At 42.3% G+C, this 16,603-nt stretch overlaps 1 protein-coding gene across 2 annotated transcripts in view; it reads left to right on the forward strand.

Annotated features, from left to right (window-relative positions):
- Window positions 1-16,603, forward strand: part of AR (androgen receptor) — a 186,599-nt gene that overhangs the window by 159,915 nt on the left and 10,081 nt on the right. For both annotated transcript variants that reach the window (NM_000044.6, NM_001011645.3), the window contains 2 exons: window positions 7,467-7,754; window positions 13,543-13,687. In NM_000044.6, the coding sequence (NP_000035.2) occupies window positions 7,467-7,754; window positions 13,543-13,687 (433 nt within the window). The remainder of the gene's footprint in view (window positions 1-7,466; window positions 7,755-13,542; window positions 13,688-16,603) is intronic.

Consider the following 16,603-nt stretch of genomic DNA (forward strand, 5'->3'; position numbering starts at 1 on the left):
GTTTCCAGCTTCATCCATGTCCCTACAAAGGACATGAACTCATCATTTTTTATGGCTGCATAGTATTCCATGGTGTATATATGCCACATTTTCTTAATCCAGTCTATCATTGATGGACATTTGGGTTGGTTCCAAGGCTTTGCTATTGTGAATAGTGCCACAATAAACATATGTGTGCATGTACCTTTAGAGCAGCATGACATATAATCCTTTGGGTATATACCCAATAATGGGATGGCTGGGTGCAATGGTATTTCTAGTTCTAGATCCCTGAGGAATCACCACACTGACTTCCACAATGGTTGAACTAGTTTACAGTCCCACCAACAGTGTAAAAGTGTTCCTATTTCTCCACATCCTTTCCAGCACCTGTTGTTTCCTGACTTTTTAATGATCGCCATTCTAACTGGTGTGAGATGGTATCTCATTGTGGTTTTGATTTGCATTTCTCTGATGGCCAGTGATGATGAGCATTTTTTCATGTGTCTGTTGGCTGCATAAATGTCTTTTTTTGAGAAGTATCTGTTAATATCCTCTGCCCACTTTTTGATGGGGTTGTTTGTTTTTTTCTTGTAAATTTGTTTGAGTTCTTTGTAGATTCTGGGTATTTGCCCTTTGTCAGATGAGTAGATGGAAAAAATTTTCTCCCATTCTGTAGGTTGCCTGTTCACTCTGATGGTAGTTTCTTTTGCTGTGTAGAAGCTCTTTAGTTTAATTAGATCCCATTTGTCAATTTTGGCTTTTGTTGCCATTGCTTTTGGTGTTTTAGACATGAAGTCCTTGCCGGTGCCTATGTCATGAATGGTATTGCCTAGGTTTTCTTCTAGGGTTTTATGGTTTTAGGTCTAACATTTAAGTCTTGAATCCATCTTGAATTAATTTTTCTATAAGGTGTAAGGAAGGGATCCAGTTTCAGCTTTCTACATATGGCTAACCAGTTTTCACAGCACCATTTGTTAAATAGGGAATCTTTTCCCAATTTCTTGTTTTTGTCAGGTTTGTCAAAGATCAGATGGTTGTAGATACGCAGCATTATTTCTGAGGGCTCTGTTCTGTTCCATTGATCTATATCTCTGTTTTGGTACCAGTATCATGCTGTTTTGGTTACTGTAGCCTTGTAGTATAGTTTGAAGTCAGGTAGCGTGATACCTCCAGCTTTGTTCTTTTGGCTTAGGATTGTCTTGGCAATGCAGGCTCTTTTTTGGTTCCATATGAACTTTAAAGTAGTTTTCTCCAATTCTGTGGAGAAAGTCATTGATAGCTTGATGGGGATGGCATTGAATCTATGAATTACCTTGGGCAGTATGGCCATTTTCACGATATTGATTCTTCCTACCCATGAGCATGGAATGTTCTTCCATTTCTTTGTATCCTCTTTTATTTCATTGAGCAGTGGTTTGTAGTTCTCCTTGAAGAGGTCCTTCACGTCCCTTGTAAGTTGGATTCCTAGGTATTTTATTCTCTTAGAAGCAGTTGTGAATGGGAGTTCACTCATGATTTGGCTTCTGTTTGTGTGTTATTGGTGTATAAGAATGCTTGTGATTTTTGCACATTGATTTTGTATCCTGAGACTTTGCTGAAGTTGCTTATCAGCTTAAGGAGATTTTGGGCTGAGACAATGGGGTTTTCTAGATATACAATCATGTCATCGGCAAACAGGGACAATTTGACTTCCTCTTTTCCTAATTGAATACCCTTTATTTCTTTCTGCTGCCTGATTGTCCTAGCCAGAACTTCCAACACTATGTTGAATAGGAATGGTGAGAGAGGGCATCCCTGTCTTGTGCCAGTTTTCAAAGGGAGTGCTTCCAGTTTTTGCCTATTCAGTATGATATTGGCTGTGGGTTTGTCATAAATAGCTCTTATTATTTTGAGATACGTCCCATCAATACCTAATTTATTGAGAGTTTTTAGCATGAAGGGCTGTTGAATTTTGTCAAAGGCCTTTTCTGCATCTATTGAGATAATCATGTGGTTTTTGTCTTTGGTTCTGTTTGTATGCTCAATTACATTTATTGATTTGCATATGTGGAACCAGTCTTGCATCCCAGGGATGAAGCCCACTTGATCATGGTGGATAAGCTTTTTGATGTGCTGCTGGATTCAGTTTGCCAGTATTGTATTGAGGTTTTTTGCATCGATATTCATCAGGGATATTGGTGTAAAATTCTCTTTTTTTGTTGTGTCTCTGCCAGGCTTTGGTATCAGGATGATGCTGGCCTCATAAAATGAGTTAGGGAGGATTCCCTCTTTTTCTAGTGATTGGAATGGTTTCAGAAGGAATGGTACCAGCTCCTCCTTGTACCTCTGGTAGAATTCAGCTGTGAAATCCATCTAGTCCTGGACTTTTTTTGGCTGGTAAGCTATTAATTATTGCCTCAATTTCAGAACCTGTTATTGGTCTATTAAGAGATTCAACTTCCTCCTAGTTTAGTCTTGGGAGGGTGTATGTGTCGAGGAATTTATCCATTTCTTCTAGATTTTCTAGTTTATTTGCATAGAGGTATTTATAGTATTCTCTGATGGTAGTTTGTATTTCTGTGGGATCGGTGGTGATCTCCCCTTTATCATTTTTTATTGCATCTATTTGATTTTTCTCTCTTTTCTTCTTTATTAGTCTTGCCAGCAGTCTATCAATTTTGTTGATCTTTTCAAAAAACCAGCTCCTGGATTCATTGATTTTTTGAAGGGTTTCCCATGTCTCTATCTCCTTCAGTTCTTCTCTGATCTTGGTTATTTCTTGCCTTCTGCTAGCTTTTGAATGTGTTTGCTCTTCCTTCTCTAGTTCTTTTAATTGTGATGTTAGGGTGTCAATTTTAGATCTTTCCTGCTTTCTCTTGTGGGAATTTGGTGCTATAAATTTCCCTCTACACACTACTTTAAATGTGTCCCAGAGATTCTGGTATGTTGTGTCTTTGTTCTCATTGGTTTCAAGGAACATCTTTATTTCTGCCTTCATTTCATTATGTACCCAGTAGTCATTCAGGAGCAGGTTGTTCAGTTTCCATGTAGTAGAGTGGTTTTGAGTGAGTTTCTTAATCCTGAGTTCCAGTTTGATTGCACTGTGGTCTGAGAGACAGTTTGTTATAATTTCTGTTCTTTTACATTTGCTGAGGAGTGTTTTACTTCCAACTCAGTGGTCAATTTTGGAATAGGTGTGGTGTGGTGCTGAGAAGAATGTATATTCTGTTGATTTGGGGTGGAGAGTTCTGTATAAGTCTATTAGGTCCACTTGGTACAGAGCTGAGTTCAATTCCTGGATATCCTTTGTGTCTTGTTGATCTGTCTAATGTTGACAGTGGGGTGTTAAAGTCTCCCTTGATTATTGTGTGGGAGTCTAAGTCTCTTTGTAGGTCTCTAAGTAATCACTTTATGAATCTGGTTGTTCCTGTATTGGTGCATATATATTTAGGATAGTTAGTTCTTCTTGTTGAACTGATCCCTTTACCATTATGTAATGGCCTTCTTTGTCTCTTTTGATCTTTGTTGGTTTAAAGTCTGTTTTATCAGAGACTAGCATTGCAATCCCTGCCTCTTTTGGTTTTCCATTTGCTTGGTAGATCTTCCTCCATCCCTTTGTTTTGAGCCTATATGTGTCTCTGCACATGAGATGGGTTTCCTGAATACAGCACACTGATGGGTCTTGACTCTTTATCCAATTTGCCAGTCTGTGTCTTTTAATTGGAGCATTTAGGTTAATATTTACGTTTAAGGTTAATATTGTTATATGTGAATTTGATCCTGTCATTGTGATGTTAGCTGGTTCTTTTGCTCGTTGGTTGATGCAGTTTCTTCCTAGCCTCGATGGTCTTTACAATTTGGCATGTTTTTGCAGTGGCTGGTACCGGTTGTTCCTTTCCATGTTTAGTGCTTCCTTCAGGAGCTCCTGTAGTGCAGGCCTGGTGGTGACAAAATCTCTCAGCATTTGCTTGTTTTTAAAGTATTTTATTTCTCCTTCACTTATGAAGCTTAGTTTGGCTGGATATGAAATTCTGGGTTGAAAATTCTTTTCTTTAAGAATGATGAATATTGGCCCCCACTCTCTTCTGGCTTGTAGAGTTTCTGCCAAGAAATCCACTGTTAGTCTGATGGCTTCCCTTTGTGGGTAACCCGACCTTTCTCTCTGGCTGCCCTTAACATTGTATCCTTCATTTCAACTTTGGCGAATCTGATAATTATGTGTCTTGGAGTTGCTCTTCTCGAGGAGTATCTTTGTGGCGTTCTCTGTATTTCCTGAATGTGAATGTTGGCCTGTCTTGCTAGGTTGGGTAAGTTCTCCTGGGGAATATCCTGCAGAGTGTTTTCCAACTTGGTTCCATTCTCCCTGTCACTTTCAGGTACACCAATCAGATGTAGATTTGGTCTTTTCACATAGTCCCATATTTCTTGGAGGCTTTGTTCGTTTCTTTTTACTCTTTTTTTCTCTAAACTTCTCTTCTCGCTTCATTTCATTCATTTGATCTTCAATCACTGATACCCTTTTTTCCAGTTGATCGAATCAGCTACTGAAGCTTGTGCATTCGTCATATAGTTCTCGTGCCATGGTTTTCAGCTCCATCAGGTCATTTAAGGCCGTCTCTACATTGATTATTCTAGTTAGCCATTCGTCTAATCTTTTTTCAAGGTTTTTAACTTCTTTGCGATGGGTTCAAACTTCCTCCTTTAGCTTGGAGAAATTTGGTCATCTGAAGCCTTCTCTCAACTCATCAAAGTCATTCTCCGTCCAGGTTTGTTCTGTTGCTGGTGAGGAGCTGTGTTCCTTTGGAGGAGAAGAGGGGCTCTGATTTTTAGAATGTTTCAGTTTTTCTGCTCTGTTTTTTCCCCATCTTTGTGGTTTTATCTACCTTTGGTCTTTGATGATGGTGACATACAGATGGGATTTTGGTGTGGATGTCCTTTCTGTTTGTTAGTTTTCCTTCTAACAGTCAGGACCCTCAGCTGCAGGTCTGTTGGAGTTTGCTGGAGGTCCACTCTAGACCCTGTTTGCCTGGGTGTCGGCAGCAGAGGCTCAGAACAGCGAATATTGCTGAACAGCAAATGTTGCTGCCTACTCATTCTTCTGGAAGTTTCGTCTCAGAGGGGTACCTAGCCATGTGAGGTATCAGTCTGCCCCTACTGGTGGGTGTCTCCCAGTTAGGCTACTCGGGGGTCAGGGAGCCACTTGAGGAGGCAGTCTGTCCGTTCTCAGATCTCCAGCTGTGTGCTGGGAGAACCACTACTCTCTTCAAAGCTGTCAGACAGGGACATTTAAGTCTGCAGAGGTTTCTGCTGCCTTTTGTTCGGCTATGCCCTGCCCCCAGAGGTGGAGTCTACAGAGGCATGCAGGCCTCCTTGAGTTGCGGTAGGCTCCACCCAGTTCGAGCTTCCCAGCTGCTTTGTTTACCTACTCAAGCCTCAGCAATGGCGGGTGCCCCTCCCCCAGCCTCACTGCTGCCTTGCAGTTCGATTTCAGACTGCTCTGCTAGCAGTGAGCGATGCTCCATGGGCGTGGGACCCTCCGAGCCAGGTGTGGGATATAATCTCCTGGTGTGCCGTTTGCTAAGACCATTGGAAAAGTGCAGTATTAGGGTGGGAGTGACCCAATTTTCCAGGTGCCATCTGTCACAGCTTTGCTTGGCTAGGAAAGGGAATTTCCTGACCCTTTGCACTTCCCGGGTGAGGCGATGCCTCTCCCTGCTTTGGCTCACACTTGGTGCACTGCACCCACTGTCCTGTACCCACTGTCCAACAAGCCCCAGTGAGATGAACCCGGTACCTCAGTCGGAAATGCAGAAATCACTCATCTTCTGCGTCACTCACGCTGGGAGCTGTAGACTGGAGCTGTTCCTATTCGGCCATCTTATGAATCATGCATGTTCAACTATGAGCAACTATGTGTATTCAATGGGAAATGGAATACCATAAAATTGTCATATGTTGAGCCCAAAATGATAGGATAGAATTTGATAGTCTGAGGATGGAAAGGACCTTCAAGGCCACTTTTAAAAACCCCATTCCCATATGATGCTTGAATTCTTAACCACTGTGTGTCTAGTATTTTCTCATTTCCAGTGATATGTGTGCCTGCCAACCTTTCCGTCTCCAAGAGCTTTAACTATCAAAATGTATGTGTGTGTGTTTTTGTGTGTGCATGTGTGTGTGAGTGTGCGTGTGTGTGTGTGTGTGTTTAGAGAGAGAGAGAGAGACAGAAAGAGAAGGAGAGACTAAAATCCAATTCACTGTTCTTTCTGGGACCCAAAGAACAAGTCTAGTCATTCTCCATTTCTAGTCTCTTTCCCTAGCAATCGGCTAGACATGCTAGACATAGACACATGTACATCACTCCTTTGAATTACAACATTCAGTATTTGTCTATCACTTATATGATAAAATACAAACTTAGCTTTTATTTTTATTTTTTTAGAGACAGTGTTTTACTATGTCACCCAGGCTAGAGCATCAGTGGCACAATCATAGCCCACTGCAGCCTGGAACCCCTGGGCTCAAGGAATCCTTCCACCTCTGCCTCCTGAGTAGCAGAGACTACAGATGTGCACCACCAGACCCAGCTAATTTGGTTTTTTACTATTTTTTGTGGAGATGGTGTATTGTCTTGTGGTGTTGCTCAGGCTGATCTTGAGCTCCTGGCCTCAAGCACTCCTCCCATCTCAGCCTCCCAAAATGCTGGGATTACAGGCATGAACCACCTTACCCAGCCAAATTTCTTAATATGATATACATGCTCCTTTAAAATCAAGCACCATCTTTGCTTTCAACCTCATTATTAACCACTTTCCCATATATGCAACATATGTTTCAGCCATACTAGTGTCTAGTTTTTCCCTGAACACTCCTTGGTGCTTTTGTTTATGCCCTTTCTGCCCACCTTTGCCTGGTGAAATCCTCATCAATCTTCAAATTCTATCAAATACTATCTTCCATATAAAGCATTTTCTAAACCCACCTATGTAAAAAGATTAGTGTTTTCCTATTTTGTTGATGCCTCCATTGCAGCATTTTCCAGTCCAACGTTTTCTAGAATTGATTGTGGCCAGGCTACCAGACTGGGCCAGGGCCTGTGTCTTTTCTGTCACCCAGAAGCAAAGGTCTAACAATGGATATCTGCTGAATGAATGAACGAAAATGAATCATTAATATATTAGTAAATACGTTAATTAAAGTTCCAGGTATGAATACTGAAGGCTGCATTCAGGCAGAGCTGGATCCAAGGATATGCTAGGTTGGTCTAGCACAAGAATCAGAGTTTTCCTCTGCAAGCTATGAAAAATTTGGGTTTAGCAGGTATTTGGGATGATGAATTATACATTTAACCAGTGTTGAATGAGCACTTGTCCTTAAGGAGTTTAGAGTCTGTGACCAGGGAGAATGGTGATTTTCTTAGCTAGGGCAGTTTTTCTAAAAAGGTAGTTGCATTGTGTGTTTTTGACCACTGATGATAAATTCAAGTCTCTCTTCCTTCCCAATAGCCCGGAAGCTGAAGAAACTTGGTAATCTGAAACTACAGGAGGAAGGAGAGGCTTCCAGCACCACCAGCCCCACTGAGGAGACAACCCAGAAGCTGACAGTGTCACACATTGAAGGCTATGAATGTCAGCCCATCTTTCTGAATGTCCTGGAAGCCATTGAGCCAGGTGTAGTGTGTGCTGGACACGACAACAACCAGCCCGACTCCTTTGCAGCCTTGCTCTCTAGCCTCAATGAACTGGGAGAGAGACAGCTTGTACACGTGGTCAAGTGGGCCAAGGCCTTGCCTGGTAAGGAAAAGGGAAGTGGGAGCATGAGATAAGGGGGATCATATTTAGTGAACGCTCCTATGGACCAGCCACCATGTCTGGTGCTTTTCTGCCCATTAACTCAGGCAGTCTTCATCATAACCCTGTGGGAGAGGGATTGTTACAAGTCTCAATTTAAACATACAGGGATCGAAACTCAGAAAGCAAAGAGAAAGATAGTATTATCGGGTGTCTTATGTGGCCCACATTGATGCACAGCAGTCATGCTTTCATATTCAACTCACAAAAATGGTCAGCAAATTTTCCATTAATCACAAATCACATAGACATACCCATATATGCCTTAGGATGCTCTTCTATATTTGCACACACAGGCTCACCCCAAAGATAATCTCTAGTTTGACTGACATTCTGTCTTCAATGTCATCTTTAGGAGCTATATCATGGGAACTCTCATAATATGGTATGGTGGAAAGAACATGAGGTTGGGAATCAGAACACTTCGGGTCTGCTCTTAGCTCTGCTAGTAACTTATTGTGTGATCCCTTCCCCTTCTGGGTCTCAATTTCTCTATCTGTATAATGTATAAAGCGTGGTTTGTATCAAATTGATGGTTTCCAGTTTTTGAAAAAAGGAACGCTTTTTGCACCTTAAACTACCTAAGGAATCATAATGAGAGGAAAGATTAGGTAATAGTGAAAGAATTACCAAGTGTTGGTCTAACAGAAGTTGGATAACAGAAGTTCCTCAGTGATGGGGAACTCACTTCTTTCTTATGTCATCTGTTGTTTAAACAAGTCTGGTTATTAAAATATTACAGCTTAAGGAATTCTTAGAGATCCTCTATCCAATGATTCACAAACTTTCCTTTAGCAGCCAAGTGCTTTATTTCTCAAAAGAATTGTACACAGATACAAGTGGAGCTAGTTTATTTAAAGCCAGAGCCTGTAGCTTGGGCCTCACCAGTTCAGCCTCTTTCTCTCTATCCCAGGGAAGCCCTAGGTCACTCTTGCAAAATCTTAGGGCTCCAAGGAACACAGTTTGAAAACCAGTGAAGTATATGCCCTTTAAAGGTTCTCCTAATCCTGCAATTATGATTCAAAGATTCTTTTGAAATAACAACAACCAAACCTTCTCTTGTGGAGTCAAAGATTAACCTGCCTTTCAATAATAACTGCCATTCAGGTAGAAATTTATAGTGAACAGAGCAATTTTGTATGTATTACCTGAATTGATTCTTATAGGAATCCTATAACATGAGATTCTTTCTCTTATTTTACAGACCAAATAGGGAAGCTGTGAGAATGATGTGATTGGCCTATAGTTACATAGTCAGAAAATAGCAGGACCAGAACTTGAGCCCAGGTTCTCTCCTGATTCCAAATTCTCTCTATTCCACTCCACCTGTAGGCTGTAGCACCACTGCAGTTCTGTAGCTCTGGGCTTTACAGTGAGGGGCCAAGGCTTCATTGAAGGCCACTTGGGTCATAGTATGGGCTTGTTGCATTTGAAGACATTTCATGTTGGCTGTCAAGTCTTAGATTTGTATTTCCAACTCACAGGGCCTGGTCACAGCCCTAACCATCTCTTATACCTTCTCAGCTTGGGAAGCTGAGGTCGACTAGCCAATAAGAACACTGGGAAGGAAACCCAAGGACTCTGACTGGATATGCTCTGTGCCAAAACAGAGGGTTCACTCAGAGAGGAAAAATATAAAAAAGAAAAAGGAGAAGGTTGCTTTAATTCTTATCACTTTTTCATCTGGATATTTTGATATCATGTGTTTGACAGAGATTCAAAGTTTAATCTTCCCAAGCAGTTTCCAAACACTTATCTCATTTTATAGGCTACAGAGCTTTTTCATATATATGATCCCACTTAATCTTTACAACAATTCTATGAATCATAGAGACTATTATTTCCATTTCACATGCCAAGGCTCAAAGAGGTTAACTAACTTGCTCCATTTGGTCACTTAACACATGGAACCAGAACTTGACCTAGACCTTCGGGTTTCTAAATTGGTTATCTTGACAATAACCTAGTGCAAAACACTATAGCAGAATTTGTATGACTTGGGATCACTGGGGCTTTCCTTGGCCCAACCACCAAGATGGAAAGCCCCCTCCCCTTACATTAACAAATCTGCAAGCCAATATCAGTTCACCATCTAGCTTGCCAGACTAAATGATTTCTGACCCCAAGTCTTTTAAAAGAATAGCTTCAAAAGAAAGCCAATTACCACATTCACAAGAACTGTTCTTCATATTATCTATAATTACCTACAAGTACAAGTAATTTGCTAATTCAATAGATTGAGTTCTTGACCTGTAAGATGAACTGTGCTAGGCCCCTAATAAGATAAATTTTGTTTTAAGTTTTCTGTGACAGTAAAGATGTATGAAAATTGCCTAGTAGAGTACCTGGCACATTAATAAATGATAACTGTTAATTTGGAGTGGGTGAGTAGACTGGGTGTGCACAGTATATTTAGAATCAAATTTATCTGGTTTGGAATCCTAGCTATGGACTAGTTCTGTGACCTTGAGCAAATCACATGTCTTCTCTGTGCTTCTGTGTCCTCATTTGTAAGATGATAGAATAATCACTACCTTTCAAATTGTTGTCAACAAAAAGATTATGTATAAAGAGCACCTAGTAACGTAGCCTGAAACATAGTCAATGCTCTGTAAATGGTGGTTTATTATTATGAGACTTGAATGCTAAGCCACTGCTTTCACGAAACTCAATTTTAGCTACCACTTGCCTTGCCTAGAAGCTCATGCATGGACCCCAAGGTGAAATTGTGTTCTCTGAAGACCTCGGCTGGCAGATGTACTACAGCAGCAAAGATTTCCAAACTGGCCTTTCTTTGAGCCCATTCTCCCAGACTAGACAGGAGACTACAAGTTTCTGCTGCACATGAAAAAAATATGATGTCAATCGGATTCTAGTGAGAAAACAGAGTCTCAAAGAAACTGCTTCTGCTCCCTAGCGTGTTTAATGTGTTTCAGAACCTGAGAATGACTCCTCTCTGTTTCTCCAGAACAGCCTAACACAGTGGCAAATGGGTGTTGAGTGAATGCATACTTAAGGAAATCTGTAGGGTTGCAGCTACTCTTTCCTCAAGTAATCCCTTGATAGTCATGTAGGCTACTTCAGAGATTGGGCATTAGAGAACAGAGTCAGGTATTATAATCAGATTAGACTCTAGGGAGGTTAGCCAGCCATATTGCTGATATGTGCACAGTTACTGGGTTTGAGTGCTAAGCAGCTCTCATTAAGGACGGTTAATTAATATTATGGCCAAATTAAGCTTTCCCTTTTCTCTCCTCTTTGTTAGTTCGGTGGCATTTTAGGGAGAAAAAAATAAGCATCAGTATGGACAATTTGCTTGATACCTGTACAATTTAATTCTCATCCTTCCATGTGCCTTCACATTCACACATTCCACCAGAAGACCAAGGTTCACCAGCCAAAAGCTTTTCTTGCTCCCCACTGCCTCCTACCCAAGATATTCAGGGTCAACCTCCCAGGCCTCTTCTCTAAGAGATCCTTGGTTGCTACATGCTTAGACCCTGCTTCTTATTTCCTGCTGAGAAGGGTCAGTCCAAGGCATTCTGTGCTACAGAAGGGTTCCAAGCAGGAACTACTCTGGGATCTGAGGCTCCAGCCGGTCTGTCAGCGTGTCATTACAGTGAAGGTGGGAAGCACAGGCCTGGGAGCTAAGACTGCTAAGATGAGGGACTCTAGAATCCCTGATACCTGGAAGGCCTAGGATCTAAAAGAAAAGAACAGGGAAATGGGGCTATATGAGTGGACAGGGACCAACCAAGCAGAACAATGTGTCTGGATAATGTAGACTTCAGACCTGATCCTATGGCTGACAAAAGCTGGTGACCTTGGTAGTTCCTGAGCTGTAACCTTCATTAGTGGAGTAGAAAAAACACTGGAGAAGAGAATCAGAACACCTGGGTTCTAGTATTAGTTCAGCCACATATAAACCATATGACCTTGGGTAAGTCAGTTTATTTCTCTGGCCCTCATGTTCCTTGTTGGTAAAATAAGTGCCACATCACCTAACCTCTGGGATTATTGTGAGAGTTAAATTAGGTCATCAACAGGAAAGTGAGAAGTTTGATCTAAATTTGGGGAAGCATTCCTAATGAGGTATGATGACAAAATTTCAGATAATTCTGGATTTGTTGGTGAGAAGAGAGAGTGTTGGTAGGGACGAGCTCTGAGGTGATGCCTTTATAACTTTAAGCATCCAACTGTTTCAAAAACTCCAGGAGAACATGGCCATGTCTGTTCTACCTGTGTATTATTGTAGACGTAGCTTCTGGGAGCCTCTGCTCTCTGAGCTTAAGGGAGGTAATTTGGAGATCATTTAATTCTCATTTTACAAAAGGAAAAAAAATTGAGGGTCTTTAGGCCATTTGTTTAGGTAATATTTCTTAAGTGCCCACTCAAATACGTGGACTGTACTAAGTACTAGGGAGGTAAAGATAAATAAGAAGATATGGTCCCTGTCTTCAAGAAGCTCCAAGTCTTGTGGGGGAGACAGACATGTATATACATAGACTTCAATGCTGTGTAATGACTGCTATAATTGGGTGAGGCTACACAAGGTGCAATGAGAATGTAAAAGAAGAATCTTTAAGCCTTCTTCTTGGATGAGTTGGGAAAGCCTTCACAGAAGAGGTAGCCTTTGAGTGAAGACTTGAAAGATGAGTAGTGTTTACCGGATGAAAGGCCTGAGAAGGAGGAATGCATTCTAGGCAAAAGTAACTGCCTGTGCAGAGATAACAGAGATATAGAGGCATGTGAGAGCGCAAGTGGCAAGAGATCAGTCTAGGTAGGCAGGTCATAAAGGGCCTATTCATGTATAATGATGGCAGTAAGATGAGGATGGCAGTAGGGTGGGAAATTAGTAGGGCCAGGGTACCTATTGAGTAGAAAAGAATGGAGAGGAAATGCCAGGCAGAAAGAGGATGGACGCAAGAGAGGGAACATGAAAGTGGTGAACAGGTGGCAGTGGCTGTCAAGACATCTCTCCATACCCTGTACACTGTATGTAATATCCATCTCCCAGGGTTGTTAGAAGGGTCAAACCAGATCGTAGCTGGAAAACAGCTTTGTGAAGTGAAAACTGCTGTTTATGTGGGGGAAATGATTGTTAAACTGCATCTTTGGAAAGGTGAAGTGATCAAGAGCACAGACCTTGGAATCTGACTGCTTTGCTTTGTAACTTGGTCTGCCAATTACTAGCTGTATGATCTTGGACAAGTTCCTTAACCTCTCTCTGACTCACTTGTACTGGTTCACAGAATGGAGATAATAATAGTACTTACCTTACTCATTGTTGTGAATGTTAAATGAGATAATATAAGTAAAGTGCTTAGAAAAGAGTTAAATGTACCCCATAAATACATACAACTATCATGTACCCAAAATTATTTTTAATTTTTTTAAAAAAGAGCAATCCAATAGCAAAAGAAAAAAAGAGTTCACTCATATAAGCAGTCAATAAGTGTTAGATTATTTTTCTCTTACAACTGACAATGCCCTTTTTGTCTCCATCATCATCTCATTTGAGCAGCTCAGGGAAGTAGGGAGGATAAGGAATATTATCCTCACCATATAGTTTGTGCTTTTCCCCACCACCCCTTAATGGCCAGCCTGGATGGTCCCTGGGGATCCTTAGGGGATGCCCGAATACCAGAGCATCTCTGCCCAACAGGGACTCAGACTTAGCTCAACCCGTCAGTACCCAGACTGACCACTGCCTCTGCCTCTTCTTCTCCAGGCTTCCGCAACTTACACGTGGACGACCAGATGGCTGTCATTCAGTACTCCTGGATGGGGCTCATGGTGTTTGCCATGGGCTGGCGATCCTTCACCAATGTCAACTCCAGGATGCTCTACTTCGCCCCTGATCTGGTTTTCAATGAGTAAGTGCTCCTGGGGCCCAGACCTCACTAAAATACAGCAGCTTGGCCAGACCTGGTTGGTGGTGATGGTGATGGGGTGACAGTGAAGCTTAGCTCATTTGATCTGCAGTTGTCGCAGCGGATGCCCCAGCCAGCCAATCCAGTATGAGGCGGCTTTGCCCTGGCTTTCAGCCAACTGGCAGGAGCCCAGGAGGATGGTGCTGAGACCACCCCTTTCACACCCAAGAACCAATCCTAGTCATATTTCTGGTCTGCTTTGCAGCTTATCTCAAAACCACATGGAAAGATTCCTCCCCTTCACATATAAAAGAGGCAGAAAGACTCTGGCTTTAAGGGCTGGAGTTTCTTGGGTTCTTTTGCTACCACCAAAGGCTACTTCTAGTCACCATTTGCTGAGCAACTAGTTTGTGCCAAGACTATGCTAGATACTTTCTAAATCCTAGCTCATTGAGTCCTCATGGTGACCTGACCTCACCTTTTTATAGATAACACTATTTTTTTATGGATGGGGAAAATCAGGCTCAGCAAAATAAAGTGACTCACCCAAAGTCACAGAGCTAGTGCCTGTTGGAGACAAGATTCAAACGTATGTCCCTGTCGATCTCAGCTCTTCTGCGTCATGGTGGTAACTGATGGGAAGGAGTACCTCTACCGCTCTCTGGCTGTGTGACCTTGGTACTGCCATTTTCCTTCCCTTAAACAGCTTTAATTAATACCTGCCCTGCCACCAGCTCCATATAACATCATGAATTTGGCCAGTGGCTCAGATTTTGGAATTACATTTTTCTCCACTAAAATCTCAGTTCTACTATTTTCTTAGTCAGCATCTTTGGGAAAGACCTTTAACTTTTCCGACCCTCAATTTCTTCATCCATTAATGATAACAGAACCTTCATAAGTAATTTCTTATGATAACTAAATGGGAATTGACAGATGTGGAATGTCTGGCCCATAGTAGGCAAGAAGGAAAAAAAAAGTCCCTTTCTGATTCACCCTTTCCCTAATAGTGATACATTTTTTTTCCCCGAGATGGGGTTTTGCTCTGCCACCCAGGCTGGAGGGCAGTGGCGCAATGATCTCAGCCCAGTGCAACCTCCACCTCCCTGGTTCAAGCAATTCTCCTGCCTCAGCTTCCCGAGTAGCTGGGATTATAGATGCCCGCCACCGTGTCCATCTAATTTTTGTATTTTTGGTAGAGACGGGATTTCACCATGTTAGCCAGGCTGGTCTCAAACTCCTGACCTCATGATCTGCCCGCCTCAGCCGGGCATGATAATCTTTTCTATGTCTGCTGTATGAGGTCCCTCGATGGCATTGTGAATGGAGCTGGCCAGAGAAATCTTCCCAAGGACCTTGAGCTAGTCTCACCACAGAGAATCCTTCCAGTCAGGACAGGAATTGACCTTCCCCCCTCTTCAGCCCTCTAACCCAGAAGAGTCTTAAAATAAAATCTACAGGCCAATGGTTCCTTCCAGTACAGCACTGCAATGCGAGGGAGAGTGAGCGTCCCCAGCTGCCCTCTCCCAACCCTGCCAGCCTGGTAGCCAAAAGCTAAGAATAACCACTAGGCTTTTGGCACAAACTGCTTTGTGGTTTTCAGATCTCCGCAAAGTTGCCTATGATGCCATCTTCTGGGGCAGGCCTTGAAAAGCCCCCTAACTGTTCATCTCCCATCCTTAAACCCCTGCTGCCCTTAAGCAGTTGAATCAACTCCATGAGCACCTGCTCTACCTTCCCCAGAGCCCTGAGACCTTTGGAGCTTTGAAAAGTGATAATTGGTTGTTCTCTAAATCCTCATTTCCTTCTCTGCCTCTAAGTAAGCATGTGGCATCCCACCTCGGCTTCCTGGTCCAGTCTTGTTCATCTTATAAAAAGGCCTCCCTACGGGGTCAGAGGCCTAGACCCATCAAACCCAGGGCTCCTGAAACAATAGGACCCCTATTCCTCCTGTAGGAAGCCACTGTGTTAGAGCTCTCAGGGTGTCTACAAACATCTAGATAAGTGTTTCTCAACATGGATTCTGTTGACATATTGGGAAAAATAATTTTGTCATTATGTAGAATATGGTTAACATACCTGGCACCAGCCTACTCTATACCAAATAGGATTCCAGTCATTCTGACAGCCCAAACTGCTCCCACACATTTCTGACACCCACTGAAGAGGCAGTACTCTCCAGTTGAGTGCAACTAATCCCTGCCAGCCTTCCTAAGGTGCTAATGGGGAGCCTCAGACCCAAAGAGAGAGAGAAGAACTTGTCCAATGTAGGTCAACCCATTTGCTGATCTCTTCAACACCAAGCTCTATTATCAGCCCTGTTTTTTTCTTTCTTTCTCTCTTTGTAGAGATCACATGTTGTGAGGATAATGAGCTTGAACCTTAGCTGTGTGACCTTGGGCAAATTACTGAACTTCTATGTGCCGCAAATTTTATCTGGAGACTGCTGAAGAGTATTATAATAGCACCTTTCTATATGTCATTTATTGAACACCTGCTATGTGTCAGGCACTGTGCTCAGTGTTTTCCAATCTTCATTTCTCCTCTTATTTTCTCTCTTGCACTCCCACCAACCTTGTTCTCTTCCTAAATTCCATTCCTGCCTCATTTTTCTACCCTCCATTCTCCTCTCTCTTCCTTCCTTTAACTGTCTCCCTAGTATTTTTCCCCTTTTCCCCCTTTCTTTTCCCCTTCCCCCATGAATTTCTTCTCTTTCCTTTCCCCTTCTCTTTCCTCCATTCCCCACTTTTTCTGCCCCTGAGGCCTGCAGCAATGTTAAAGGAATCCTCATTCCAGCATTGTGATTTCAATGGTAAAAAGATTGCAGCATTGTCATCAACAGAGGTGGGAAAGTACATTGGAGACTGGAGCAGAGCCAGACCTCAGGGTCAGCCAATCTTACTAAAAAATTCTCTACAG

Source organism: Homo sapiens, chromosome X (assembly GCF_000001405.40).
Source record: "Homo sapiens chromosome X, GRCh38.p14 Primary Assembly".
Taxonomy (NCBI): Eukaryota; Metazoa; Chordata; class Mammalia; order Primates; family Hominidae; genus Homo; species Homo sapiens.